A 15,220-nucleotide genomic window follows, 5' to 3' on the forward strand; every position below is an offset into this window, starting at 1 on the left:
GACTCCATCTCCACAAAAATAAAAACATTAGCCAGGTGTGATGGCACACGCCTGTGGTCCCAGCTACTTGGGAGGGTGAGGTGGGAGGACTGCTTAAGCCTGGGAGGTCGGGGCTGCAGGGAGCCATTATTATGCCACTCTGCTCTCGCCTGGGCGACAGAGCAAGACCCTGTCTATAAATAAATAAATAAATAAATAAAGGAGCTAGCTGGGCGTGGTAGTGTGCGCCTGTCATCCCAGCTACTCAAGAGGTTTAGGTGGGAGGATTACTTGAGCCTGGGAGTTCAAGTCCAGCCTGGACAACGTGGTGAGACCTCATCTCTTAAAAATTAAAAATCAACAACTACAAAAAAGAGGGAGGTAGTAGGACCTATTTCATGGAATTATTATAACTATAAGAATAGTTATGTTTGGCCAGATGTGGTGGCTCATGCCTGTAATCCTAGCACTTTGGGAGGCCGAGGTGCACAGATCACAAGGTCAGGAGTTCGAGAGCAGCCTGGCCAATATGGTGAAACCCCATCTCTACTAAAAATACAAAAATTAGCTGGGCATGGTGGCGGGCGCCTGTCATCCCAGCTACTCAGGAGGCTGAGGCAGGAGAATTGCTTGAACCCGGGAGACGGAGGTTGTAGTGAGCTGAGATCATGCCACTGTACTCCAGCCTGGGCAACAGTGAGACTCTATCTCAAAAAAACAAAAAAAAAAAAAAAAAAAAGAAAGAAAAAGAAAAAAGAAAAGAAAATCTTATGTTTGGATAATATTTACTGAGTGCAGTCGGGCATGGTGGCTCACGCCTGTAATCCCAGCACTTTGGGAGGCTGAGGCGGGTGGATCACCTGAGGTCGGGAGTTTGAGACCATCCTGACCGATATGGAGAAACCCTGTCTCTACTAAAAACACAAAATTAGCCGGGCATGGTGTCACACGCCTGTAATCTCAGCTACTCGGGAGGCTGAGGCAGAAGCGCTTGAACCCAGGAGGCGGAGGTTGTGGTGAGCCAAGATCGTGCCATTGCACTCCAGCCTGGGCAACAAGAGTGAACTCCGTCTCAAAAAAAAAAAAAAATTTACTGAGTGCTTGTTATGGACTCTGAATGTGTCTCCTCAAAATTCATATGTTAAAATCTAGTCCCCAATATGGTGGTGTTTGGAGGTGGGGCTTTTGGAAGGTAATAGGTTATGAGGGATGATCTCTCATGAAAGGGATCAGTGTCCCCTTAGAAGAAGAGGCCACAGAGTTAGCTAATCCTCTTTCCACCATGTAAGACTACAGGGAGAAGTCAGCTGTGTACAACTGGTAAGACGGCCATCACCAGGGCCCAACCATACTGGTGCCCTGATCTTGGGAATTCCAGCTGTCAGAACTGAGAACTACATGTTATCTAAGCCACCCAATCTATGGTAATTTGTTATATGAGCCTGAACTAAGACAGTGCTTATTACATGTCAGACATTTTCTCATTCCTAATCATCACCGTAGAATCCATCAAGGTAGGTAAATTAAGTCATAAAAATATACCCCACCCAATGCAATAAAGCTCTTTGCATGACTATATATACCTTTAAAAACATTTTCTTTCTTTCTTTCTTTTTTTTTTTGAGATGGAGTCTCACTCTGTCACCCAGGCTGGAGTACAGTGGCACCATGTTGGCTCACTGCAACATTTGTCTCCTGGGTTCAAGTAATTATCCTGCCTCGGCCTCCCGAGTAGCTGGAATTACAGGCGCCCACCACTACGCTTGGCTAATTTTTGTATTTTTAGTAGAGACAGGGTTTCACCATGTTGGCCAAGCTGGTCTCCAACTCCTGACCTCAGGTGATCCGCCTGCTTTGGCCTCCCAAAGTGCTGGGATTACAGGCATGAGCCACTACACCCGGCCTCATCTTTTATGAATTGTCCCTTACAGAAACATCTTTGCAAACCACTTGTTTAGGAGATAGTAGAATAAAGTAATGGAAAAAATAGCTGTGGATTGTTAGGAAACAGTAGAATATTTTAAAAATAGGATAATAAAATATAGGTCTTTTTTTTTTTTTTTTTTTGAGACGGAGTCACAAGCTGGAGTGCAGTGGTGCGATCTCGGCTCACTGCAACCTCCGCCTCCAGGGTTCATGCCATTCTCCTGCCTCAGCCTCCCGAGTAGCTGGGACTACAGGCGCCCACCAGCACGCCCGGCTAATTTTTTTGTGTTTTTAGTAGAGACGGGGTTTCACCGTGTTAGCCAGGATGGTCTCGATCTCCTGACCTTGTGATCCGCCCGTCTCAGGCTCCCAAAGTGCTGGGATTACAGGAGTGAGCCACCTCGCCCGGCCAATATAGGTCTTTTTTTTAATTAAAAAAAAAAAAAAAAAAAACAAGGATGACTCACATTTTATCCTCTTGAAGAACTCAGTTGTTCTTTGAGGAGTGACTAGTTCCATGGTCAATAAATTCAGGAAATATAATCTCCCCTTGAAACTCTACAACACGTGTTCATATGTAAAATGCACTAAGAAGTTCTGTAGGAAAGAAAACAGTTTGATTTTCTCTAACCCAGCGTGTCCTATGCTGATTTAACCACAGAAATTTTTGTTGTAGTGTATTCTACGCCTTTTTAACATTGTGGAATATAGTCTGGAAAACTCTAACAGATTGCTGTGTCTACAAGAAACCCAAGCAAGCATGGTACACTCATCGGAATCAGAACGTAACTTCACATGAGGTGTTGGTTAGAATCCAAGAGGCAAGGCAGGCAAGTGACCAGCTCATTCATTTTTCTTTTTCTGTTTTTTTTTTTGAGACAGAATCTCACACTGTTGCCCAGCCTGGAGTGCAATGGCTTGATCTCGGCTCACTGCAACCTCTGCCTCTGGAGTTCAAGCAATTCTCTTGCCTCAGCCTCCTGAGTAGCTGGGATTACAGGCATGCGCTGCCATGCCCAGCTGATTTTTGTATTTTTAGTAGAGACATGATTTCACCGTGTTGGTCAGGCTGGTCTCGAAATCTCGATCTCAGGTGATCCGCCAGCCTCAGCCTCCCAAAGTGCTGGGATTACAGGTGAGAGCCACCATGCCCGGAAATATTATTTAATTGAGAAAGTTATTTATTCAGTTTTTCTATTTACACTTTCTTGGTTTTTTTCTCATGCCCACTCTGCACTCAAGTTTTCTCTCTGTATTATTTATTTATGCTTTATTATTAAAATTTATAAATAGAGGTGGGGGTCTTGCTACATTGACCAGGCTGATCTCAAATCCCTGGCCTTAAGTAATCCTCCCACCTCAGTCCCTTTCAAAGTGTTGGGATTACAGGCATGAGCCACCACTCGAGGCCAAGTTGCTTCTCTGCTTCATATGTTCCCAACTCTTCTGAAAAGAGATTTTGCTATTGTCTAAACCACTTGTGTTCAGCTTTAAAGAGAAGTACAAAGAGACTTGAAGTCATCTGAGAGTCTACCACATAGAAAAGAGCATCCTTAACTCTTGGTGAACATCGTTTTAGGCTTCTCTTACACAGTAATTTTACATAAATACAATTAAACTACAAATTCTGTGCAATATGTCATAGACTTTTTTTTTTTTTCCGAGACGGAGTCTCGCTCTGTTGCCCAGGCTGGAGTGCAGTGGTGCAATCCCAGCTCACTGCAACCTCTGCCTCCCGGGTTCAAGCGATTCTTCTGCCTCAGCTTCCTGAGGAGCTGGGACTACAGGCGCCTGCCACCACGCCCAGCTAATTTTTGTATATTCAGTAGAGATGGGGTTTCACCATATTGGCCAGTCTGGTTACAAACTCCTGACTTCGTGATCCGCCCACCTCGGCCTCCCAAAATGCTGGGATTACAGGCGTGAGCCACTGAGCCTGGCCGGTCATAGACTTTTTTCTGCAATAATAAACATAAATTAACATTATCTTTGTTAATGGATGGGCCATAGTTTATGCAACCCTTTGACAGCTTTTTGGTTTGTTTGTTTTTTTGTTTTTTGAGACGGCGTCTCACCTTTTTGCCCAAGCTGGAGTGCAGTGGCACGATTTTGGCTCGTTGCAACCTCAGCCTCCTGGGTTCAAGTGAGAGTAGCTGGGATTACAGGCAACTGCCACTGCGCCCGGCTAATTTTTGTATTTTTAGTAGAGACAGGGTTTCGCCATGTTGGCCAGGCTGGCCTCAAACTCCTGACCTCAGGTGATCCGGCCCACCTCGGCCTCCCAAAGTGTTGGGATTACAGGCGTGAGCCCCCGCCCCCAGCCTTTTTTATGTTTTATGTATATTTTTTGAGACCGAGTCTTACTCTGTCACCCAGGCTGGAGTGCAGTGGCGTGATTTCAGCTCACTGCAACCTCCGCCTCCCGGATTCGAGAGGTTCTCCTGCCTCAGCCTCCTGAGCAGCTGGGAATACAGGCATGCACCACCCCCCCAGCCAATTTTTGTATTCTTGGTAGATGCGGGGTTTCTCCATGTTGGTCAGGCTGGTCTTGAACTCCTGACCTCAGGTGATCCACCCACCTAGGCCTACCAAAATGTTGGGATTACAGGTGTGAACCACCGCGCCCAGCCCCCTTTGACAGCTTTTGAGGGACATTTAGTTTCTTTGCAATTTATAATTATTCTTAATTGAGCCTTGTGCAAACACCCTAGTGTGTCCAGACTTTAACATTTGAGAGATGTGGCCGGGCGCAGTGGCTCACGCCTGTAATCCCAGCACTTTGGGAGGCCGAGGCCAGCGGATCACGAGGTCAGGAGATCAAGACTGTCCTGGCTAACACGGTGAAACCCCGTCTTTACTAAAAATACAAAAAATTAGCCAGGCATGGTGGCGGGCGCCTGTAGTCCCAGCTACTCAGGAGGCTGAGGCAGGAGAATGGCGTGAACCCGGGAGGCGGAGCTTGCAGTCAGCCGCGATAGCGTCACTGCACTCCAGCCTGGGCAACAGAGCGAGACTCCGTCTCAAAAACAAAACAAAACAAAACAAGAAAACCTTTTGAGAGATGCTCTCCTTTTTTTTTTTTTTAATGCCTTTTCTCACTTTGTGGTCCAGGCGGGGGTGCAGTGGCGCCATCTCTGCTTGATTTCTGCTTGATGTAACCTCCGCCTCTCAGGCTCAAGTGATTCTTGTGCCTCAGCCTCCCAGGTAGCTGGGATTACAGGCGTGTGTCACCATGCCTGGCTAATTTTTGTATTTTTAGTAAAGACGGGGTTTCACCCGGTTGGCCAGGCTGGTCTTGAACTCCTGACCTCAGGTTGACCAGCCTGCTTCAGCTTCCTAAAATGCTGGGATTACAGGCGTGAGTCATTGCACTCGGCCTCTCCTTAAGGTAAATCCCTAAAGGTAATATATATCTGCATCAAAGCGAACCTCTGTTATTTTTTGTTTTATATTGCCTAACTGCCTTTTGGAAAGGTTATACCAAATTACCCTTATTCTGAATGTGCAAGAAACTTTTATTTTTATTTTAAAATTTTATTTATTTATTTATTTTGAGATAGAGTCTCGCTTTGTCACCCAGGCTGGAGTGCAGTGGCGCAATCTCGGCTCACTGCAACCTCTGCCTCCCAGGTTCAAGTGATTCTCCTGCCTCAGCCTCCTGAGTAGCTGTGATTACAGGTGCCCGCCACCACGCCCGGCTAATTTTTTTGTATTTTTAATAGAGACAGGGTTCCACCATATTGGCCAGGCTGGTCTCGAGCTCCTGACCTTGTCATCCACCCGCCTCTGCCTCCCAAAGTGCTGAGATTACAGGCATGAGCCACCGCGCCTGGTGTTAACTTTTATTTTTTTTGAGACAGGATCTTACTCTGTCACTCAGGCTAGAGTGCAGTGATACCATCATGGCTCACTGCAACCTCTGCCTCCCAGGCTCAAGCATTCCTCCCACTTCAGCCTCCCAAGTAGCTGGGACTACAGGTGCACACCACCACGCCCAGTTAATTTTTGTATTTTTTGTAGAGATGCGTTTCCTCATTTTACCCAGTCTTGTCTAGAACTCCTGGGCTTGAGTGATCTGCTCTCTTCAGCCTCCCAAAGTGCTGGGATTATAGGTGTGAGCCACTGTGCCCAGCCTGATACCTGTACTTTTACTTTCTTTCTTTTTTTTTTTTTTGAGATGGAGTCTCGCTCTGTAGCCCACGTTGGAGTGCAGTGGCGCAATCTTGGCTCACTGCAACCTCCGCCTCCCGGGTTCATGCCATTCTCTTGCCTCAGCCTCCAGAGTACCTGAGATTACAGTCACACGCCACCACACCTGGCTAATTTTTGTATTTTTAGTGGAGACGGGGGTTTCGCCATGTTGGCCAGGCTGGCCTTGAACTCCTGACCTCAGGTGATCTGCACATCTTGGCCTCCCAAAGTGCTGGGATTACAGGCATAAGCCACAGTGCCCGGTCCATATCTGCAATTTTTAACCATTTATGAGATCACTTCACTATCTTGAGATCTCCACTTTAATGTATTCAAGGAAAAATGCTTAGTTGTATTGTGAAATGGATCACTTTAGAGAAAAGAAAAATGCCTACAATACAGTGAGCTGGTCAATTTTCCAATGCCAAAAGATAAACGTGAATATCCCTTTCAGGGAATTAGCCAATGTTTCAAGCAGCATGAAGGCAAAATTTGAGTTGAACATTGTAATACAAATAGCTCTTGGGAAATTCTTATGAGTACCTTTAAATAGATGTAAATCTATTAAATCAAAGATTTAATTACTTAGTATATAATAAGCAACCCACTATTAATAATATAAGAGGTAATACTGCCTTTCAAATTTTTCCCTTTCAAATTCTTGGAATTATTAACTATGTATGCCCCAAATAATGGGTTTCTGATGGTGTATTTCCCCCTGGAAAAGAGCATTCTATGCAATGCCCAGTTCCCAGTACATAGTAGACATTCAATTAAAAAAAAAAAAGTTGAGGCCGGGTGTGGTGGTTCACACCTGTAATCCTGCCGCTTTGGGAGGCTGAGGTGGATGGATCACATGAGACCAGGAGTTCAAGACTGGCCTGTCCAACATGGCGAAAACCCGTCTCTACTAAAATTACAAAAAGTAGCCGGGTGCAGTGGCGCACGCCTGTAATCCCAGCTACCTCAGGAGGCTTAAGCACGATAATTGCTTGAATCTAGGAGGCAGAGGTTACAGTGAATTAAGATCCTGGCACTGAACTCCACTGCACTCCAGCCTGGGAGACAGAGGGAGACTCTGTTTCAAAAAAAAAAAAAAAAAAAAAAGTTGAATGAATAAATGGCATATTACAAAGTTAAAAAGTAAAGCGTCTGTCTTATCAGTCAGTTTATCTAATCAGCCAGTTGTTCAGAAGCTATTAATAGGTAACTGATGGTGTAAGTCCAGTGTGTTTTAAATAATCCTTTTCTGGACTTTTATGTTCTTCCTAAGGAGAGATAGGAAACTGGTGGACAAGTGTTGGGTTTGCTACAGTCATGTTTTCTTTGGCTCAGATGGTATTCAAACATTTTGAAATAGTCACCAACATTTCTAAAGCTTCTACATAAAAATTGGGATTTCTGGCTTTCCTTAACAAAATGTGAGCTCTGGCCACACCAGGTCCAAACTCCAAGCCGCAAGGCCATAGAAGGGCTGTGGGCAAGGGACACCTGCCCCCTCCCCCTTTGATTGCCGCGGCCCCCGCCTGGTGGCCGGCCTCTCTTTTGCCACCTGCCTGGCCCCGGGAAGGCATTTTGACTTTGCCACAGCCTGTTTCTCTTTTTAAGTTTGGTGTGTGTACATTGAAGATCTTATATTATTGCCTCAATTCAAAAAAATGTTCTTGCTCTCTCTCTCCCAAATTTTCAAGACCTCACTGCTCCTGAACCTTCTGTGATGGCCTGGGCTTTGTTCTTTGTCGTCACCAGAGAGAGTAGCAGGAACAACTCTCTAGAGAGACCCATCTCTCAGCCGACTCCACTGTAGGTTGGTGGCAATCAAAGACATCGGAATACTTTCTCCTGTGTGTGCGGGGTGGGGGAAGGGAAGGTTGAGAGAAAGGAAGAAGCATAAAGATTAGGAGGGCTGTTGCTCAACCTTCCTGTTCTGGGCCAATCGTGCCTGTCAGACCAGCTACAGAAAGACATGCACTTGTAGTATGTTTTTTTGGGGGAAAAAGTATCTTGATTCTACTCTGCTTTGAGAAAAAAAAAATACTGTTAACTCTCTTTCTCTGTATAATTAGACATCAAAATACAGAGAAATGTTCTTAGCACTTTGCTATCAGAAAAGCAGACATTTTCGACTTTGTAGATTCCATACAAGATAAACGCCTTGACCCTTGCTCCCCATCCCCAAATAAAATGCCAAACTTCAATTACCAGTTCGTAAGTAGTCTGCATCGCTTTATTTTTCCTTCTGACAGTAGGTGTTTGGTGTCAATGTACATTTTCTTACCACAATGATTTCCTTCCCTAAACTATTAATTTTGTTTTTATGAATAATACAGTATGCCCCAGTTATTATTTAGTTTGATTGTATGCTAGCCTCATGCTCTGCATTTTAATTTAAGTGTAACTGCGCAGGAAAAAAATGCAAATCTCTTCTATTCAAATTCAAAAGAAAATAAATGGATTTTTTATGGCCTAAAGGATCTATTCATTACCAAATCATTTATCTTTTCAGGAAGAACAGTTTATGTATCCAATATGCTCTCGTGCTGTCTTTATTTTCTTTATTTTTTTTCTCTTTTGATAAATATGCTCACTCTTTCAAGTCTCTCTTGAATCTCTGCCGATAGGGGCAGCTTATAGCAGCAAGAACAAGAATATAATTAATAGCATTAAACAGAAAGCAAAGGTTGCAGAGAAAGCTTGAACATATTGGATATTTTAAAAATAATAATAAACAAACCTAAAATTGGATTGTGTCAAATGAATTTTTATTTTAACAATTGTAACATTAAGAAAAAGAGATACACAGTTGGCCCTACCAAAACAAAATGACAAAGGGGTGGGAGGAGAAGTCCGTGTTTTCAACAGACTAGCTTTTTTGGGGTCTTGTTGCAAATAGCCTGAAGAGGTAGAAGCATTACTGATTTTGCTTCTAACATGATCGGCTCTTGGAAGTTTGGCATTTTGAATTCTGGGCTATATTTTTTTTATTTTTATTTATATCTTGATTAAATAAGCCAGTTTAGAGGTCACTGCATCTGGGAGGGTGTCGTAATACACAAACAGCTGTGATACACAAAGCAGTTTTCAGTAAGTATCTTTCATGTAGCAGCTGGAATGGCTTTCTCCTGAATGAGAAAGGCCCCTAAGTGAGAATAGTGGCAAGTGTGAGTTTATGTATGTCATTTTTTTAAAAAGACATTTGTCTTTTTCTAGAGTACTGTACTTTAAAAATCATATAATTGTGTTAAAGTTACCCAGAATGTTGACTTTTCCCTATTCATGTTTATGTATCAAATTGGATTTCAGGGCAAATTCAATGGGTTTCTTTGTTCTTTCTAGATTAAGTCCAGATAAATAATCTGGTTTCGTTGTGGCTGCATTGTTTAAATCATGCTAATTATAGTGCTTACAATACAATGGCAGAGGGGGCAATTTAAATGTTCATTTGAAGAAGAAAAAAATCTGATGCTGAGCTCAAAAATGTACAGTCACTCTAACCGCTCCCTGAGGGCCATTTTAAGACTGGTTTTCAAAGACTTGTTTACCTTGAAATTCTTACACACCAGGCATGCTTCTATCCTCACGACCTAGGTACGGGAATGTTAGTGGTCTCTAAGCTGACTTGGAGTCTCATGTAGATAGAGTTCTGATTTCAGAACAGGCTGCTGGCTGCTTCCATGCCCCTCAGAAGGAGCAGGGAGTCCTCCCCGGCCACAGACTTGTAGCCCTTTTTGACTGAAGGCTTCCAAAATGAAAGGAAGGGGTTGGCTTTTGAAGAGGTGAAAGAGAGATCCTTTGAGGGAAGGACTGAATGAATGAGCAGCCTCAGGCCAGGGCGAGATAATCAAGAGACTATCTGACCTCTAATTCCTTCAGAGACAAAAATAAATCAGTGCTCAAGGAGGCGCTTTTATTAATCACTGCATGTTTCCTGTCAGAAGAAATGATGGGATTAGGGTGGGAAGAGAATACACGGGACATATAAGCAAATGTTTACCTAGGCTACTTCTTTCTGGATCCTTGGGATTGGTTCTTAACTTGTTTTTTCTTGAGACAGTCTTGCTCTGTCACCCAGGCTGGAGTGCAGAGACATGATCTCAGCTCACTGCAACCTCCGCCTCCCAGGTTAAAGGGATTCTCCTGCCTCAGCCTCCCAAGTAGCTGGGATTATAGGCGCCCGCCACCACGCCTGGCTAATTTTTGTATTTTTAGTAGAGACAGGGTTTCACCATCTTGGCCAGGCTGGTCTCGAACACATGACCTCAAGTGATCCGCTCACTTTGACCTCCCGAAGTGCTAGGATTACAGGAGTGAGGCACTGGCCTGGCTCTTAACTTCAATTGTTCTCTATTTTATGATTTATGATTTATTTGGGAAATTCCTGAGGTGGGGGCAAAGGGACACGTCTAGGTCTTGGCACCGAGAACTGAAACAAATAGCACATTAGACTATATTTAGCAGATGATAATACAGACACTGAAAAACAGATTACGGATGATAAAAAAGAAAGAAATAGTGCCGTCCTGGCTTGAAAGCGATGGAATACTGAATGTGAGGCGTGGATTGTTTAGGGAATGAGTGTGGAATTTCTCTCCATAAATCACCCATTGCTCAGGGGCTAGATGACTATAGGAGGTGGGGACACAAATATATCACCTCTTGAGGAAGGAAAGAGAAGAGACTAGATGAGAATCACAACGCCAATGCCAAGGTTGGTGTTGTGTCGAAAACAGTAATACGGACAATAGATTTTGCAGAAAAAAAGAATCGGGAGCCGGTGTGGTGGCTCACGCCTGTAATCCCAGCACTTTGGGAGGCCAAGGTGGGCAGATCACCTGAGGTCAGGAGTTGGAGACCAGCCTGACCAACATGGTGAAACCCCATCTCTACTACAAATACAAAAATTAGCCGGGCTTGGTGGCAGGCCCCTGTAATCCCAGCTACTCAGGAGGGTGAGACAAGAGAATCGTTTGAGCCCGTGAGGGGGAGGTTGCAGTGAGCCGAGATCGTGCCACTGCACTCCAGCCTGGGTGACAGAGCCAGATTCTGTCTCAAAAAATAATAATAATAATTGGGAAAAAAATAAATAATTGGGAGTGGACTTTTGCTTTGCCCCCATTTCCAGGAATTGTGCATGACTCAAAGTTACTGCTTTGAGTAGCCCAACTACAGTTGTTGGGCTGATCTGCTCACTCTTTAAGACCCTGGACAAATTCATCAAGCTTTTGCTTTGCACCCCTGTTCCCTCAGCTATAAAATGGGTTTAATAAGAATTCATTCCGGCCGGGTGTGATGGCTCACAGCTGTTATCCCAGCATTTTGGGAGGCCGAGGCGGGTGGATCAACTGAGGTCGGGAGTTTGAGACCAGCCTAACCAACATGGAAAAACCCCGTCTCTACTAAAAATACAAAATTAGCCGGGCGTGGTGGCACATGCCTGTAATCTTAGCTACTCTGAAGGCTGAGGCAGGAGAATCGTTTGAACCTGGGATGCGGAGGTTGCGGTGAGTGGATATTGCGCCATTGCACTGCAGCCCGGGCAACAAGAGCGAAACTCCGTCTCAAAAACAACAAAAAAAAAGAATTCATTCCATTTGGTTGTTGCAAAGATAACAGGCGATAATGTACATAGAACGTTTAGCTACACCTGGCTAAAGCTAGGTCTTAGATAACAAGAATGAGACTGGGCATAGTATCTCATGCCTATAATCCCAGTGCTTTGGGAGGCCAAGGCAGGAAGATTGTTAGAGACCAGGAGTTCAAGGCCAGCCTGGGCAACATAGTGAGACCCTGTCTCTACAAAAAAATAAAAATAAAAAAAAGATAATGAAAACACACCAAATTTGTAGAAATACCAGAAAATCTTATTTTAGTTATTCCTTTTTGGCTTCTTTTTGTTTTGTTTTGTGTGCAGTGGCACAATCATTGCTTAACTGCAGCTGCGACCTCCTGGGCTCAGCCTCACAAGTAGGTGGGACCACAGGTGCGTGACATGCCTGGCTAATTTTTTTTTTTTTTTCTGAGACAGAGTCTCGCTCTATTGCCCAGTCTGGAGTGCAGTGATGCAATCTTGGCTCACTGCAGCCTCTGCTTCCCAGGTTCAAGTGATTCTCTTGCTTCAGCCTCCTGAATAGCTGGGATCACCGGTGCACACCACCACGCCTGGCTAATTTTTGTATTTTTAGTAGAGACTGGGCTTTGGCATGTTGGCCAGGCTGGTCTTGAACTCCTAACCTCAAGCAATTTGCCTGCCTCAGCCTCCCAAAGTGCTGGGATTATAGGCATGAGCCATTGTGCCCAGCCGAAAAGAGTTACTTTTATAAAAAAACTATTGCAGGCTGGGCAATATAGTGAGACCCCATCTCTATAAAAACTAAAGAAAATTAGCTGAACATGGTGGCATGTACCTGTCGTCCCAGCTACTTCAGCCTGGGTGACAGAGTAAGGTTCTGTCCCCAAAAATATATATACTGTTGTTTGCTTCTTTATATACTTGTATGATAAAGGCCATACCATATAATTTAAGAGCTGCAAAGTTTTCTTTACTGTTCTTTTACAGATTGGCTTGAAGTTGTACAAAATTAAACACAAGAAATACATGTGGCCAGGCACAGTGGCTCATGCCTGTAATCCCAGCACTTTAGGAGGCTGGGGTGGGCAAATTGATTGAGCTCGGGAGTTCGACACCAGCCTGGGCAACATGGTAAAACCCCGTCTCTACTAAAAATACAAAAATTAGTCTGGGTGCGGTGGCTTACGGTTGTAATCCCAGCACTTTGGGAGGCTGAGGTGGGCAGATCACGTGGTTAGGAGTTTGAGACCAGTCTGACTAACATGGTGAAACCCCGTCTCTACTAAAAATACAAAAATTAGCTGGGCATGGTGGCGTGCACCTGTAATCCCAGCTATTTGGGAGACTGAGGCAGGAGAATCGCTTGAACCTGGGAGGTAGAGGTTGCAGTAAGCCGAGATTGTGCCACTGCACTGCAGCCTGGGTGACAGAGCAAGACTCTATCTCAAAAAAAAAAAAAAAAGCAGGAAAAAAACAAACAAAAAACAATGAAAATTAGCAGGGCCTGGTGGTGCACACCTGTAATTCCAGCTACTTGGGAGGCTGAGGCATGAGAATCCCTTGAACCTGGGAGGTGGAGGTTGTAGTGAGTCAAGATGGAGCCACTGCATTCCAGCCTGGATGACAGAGCAAGACTCCGTCTCAAAAAATTAAAAAAAAAAAAAAGAGATCTAACAGAAGTTGAGACTCACAGTATACCTAGCACGCTTCTCAGTGATTAGCTTATTTAATCCCCAGAACAGCTTAGTGAAGGAGGCATTATTTATTATTCCCATTTCACAGATGAGAAAACAGAGGCTTAACAATATGAAGTGACCATGTAAATTCCCATGGCAGTGACAGTGGAGCTGGGATTTGAATGTTAGCAGCCTTGATGCTTAACTCGATTTTTCTTTCTTCTGTTTTCTTACCACAGTACTAAGGAGGGACTTAATGCCATTTGTTCCCTACCCACTTGGCATTCATTCCTACCTGCCTTTGCTAACTGGCATTACTGATTGTCCACTAGATGCAACACCTATGCTAAACAATGGGGAACACAAAGATCTTAGGGATTTTTTTTTTTTTTTGAGACGGAGTCTCGCTCTGTTGCCCAGGCTGGTGTGCAGTTGCGTGATCTCGGCTCACTGCAAGCTCCGTCTCCTGGGTTCAGGCCATTCTCCTGCCTCAGCCTCCCGAGTAGCTGGGACTACAGTCGCCCACCACCACGCCCAGCTAATTTTTTGTATTTTTAGTAGAGACGGGGTTTTACCGTGTTGGCCAGGATGGTCTCGATCTCCTGTCCTCGTGATCTGCCTGCCTTGGCCTCCCAAAGTGCTGGGATTACAGGCATGAGCCACCGTGCCCGGCTGATCTTAGGGATTAACTGATTGATTGATTGACTGATTTATCTTTTTTCAACCCTGGCCTACAGAAGATCTTTGGAATTCACATAAGGTTTTTCTTGGGCCGGGCATGGTGGCTCACGCCTGTAATCCCAGCACTTTGAGAGGCCAAGGTGGGTGGATCACCTGAGGTCAGGAGTTCAAGACCAGCCTGGCCAACATGGTGAAGCCCTGTGTCTACTAAAAATACAAAAATTAGCGGGGTGTGGTGGTGGGCGCCTGTAATCCCAGCTACTTGGGAGGCTGAGGCAGAAGAGGTGGAGGTTGCAGTGAGCCAAGATCACACCACTGCACTCCAACCTGGGTGACAGAGAGAGACCCTGACTCAAAAATAAATAAATAAATAAATATATACGATTTTTTTTTTTTTGGAGGCAGGGCCTTGCTGGATCACCCAGGCTAGAGTGCAGGCACAATCTCGGCTCATTGCAACCCCCGCTTCCCAGGCTCAAGACATCTCCCACCTCAGCCTCCTGAGTAGCTGGGACTACAGGCACGTGCCACCACACCTGGCTAATTTTTTGTATTTTTGGTAGAGACGGGGGTCTCACTATGGTATCCAGGCTGGTCTCAAACTCCTGAGCTCAAGTGATCATCCCGCCTCAGCCTCCCCAAGTGCTGGAATTACAGGCGTGAGTCCCCTCCCTCGGTCGATTTTAGGAATGTAAAGGCTGGTAGAGCACTTCCAACTCCCTGTGTTTGGATTCACGGATTCTTCATGGAGCATTTCCCCAGGAAAAGACACACAAACAGATTAGGTGCACAATTACAGGGGTTTCATTAATATTCTCCAAGTTTATTTATGGATTCCCTAGACTTCCAAGATAAGGGCACTTGGTTTTACAGCATAATCCCCATATTTTATCACCCATAGGTTCACAGGATTGGGTGACTTGTTCAGGAGACTTAGTGAAGTGTTGTTCGTTTAATGTCTACGCTAAGTGAGTAAATGTATGGTCCTCAGTATTCTCAACCCTAAGTTACGGAATTGCTAGACACAGGGCCAGCTTCATGGGTGTATGTCTTGGGCAGCAGTTGCTTAGGGCTCTGTGCTCGGAAGCAGCCCGTCTCGAATGTCTGGGCTCAAGCAGTCTTCCCTCCTCAGCCTCCCAAAGTGCTGGGACTGCGCGCATGCACTACTGCACCCTGCCACTTTGAAATTTTTAATAAC

The sequence above is a fragment of the Homo sapiens genome, chromosome 20 (assembly GCF_000001405.40).
Source record: "Homo sapiens chromosome 20, GRCh38.p14 Primary Assembly".
Classification (NCBI taxonomy): Eukaryota; Metazoa; Chordata; class Mammalia; order Primates; family Hominidae; genus Homo; species Homo sapiens.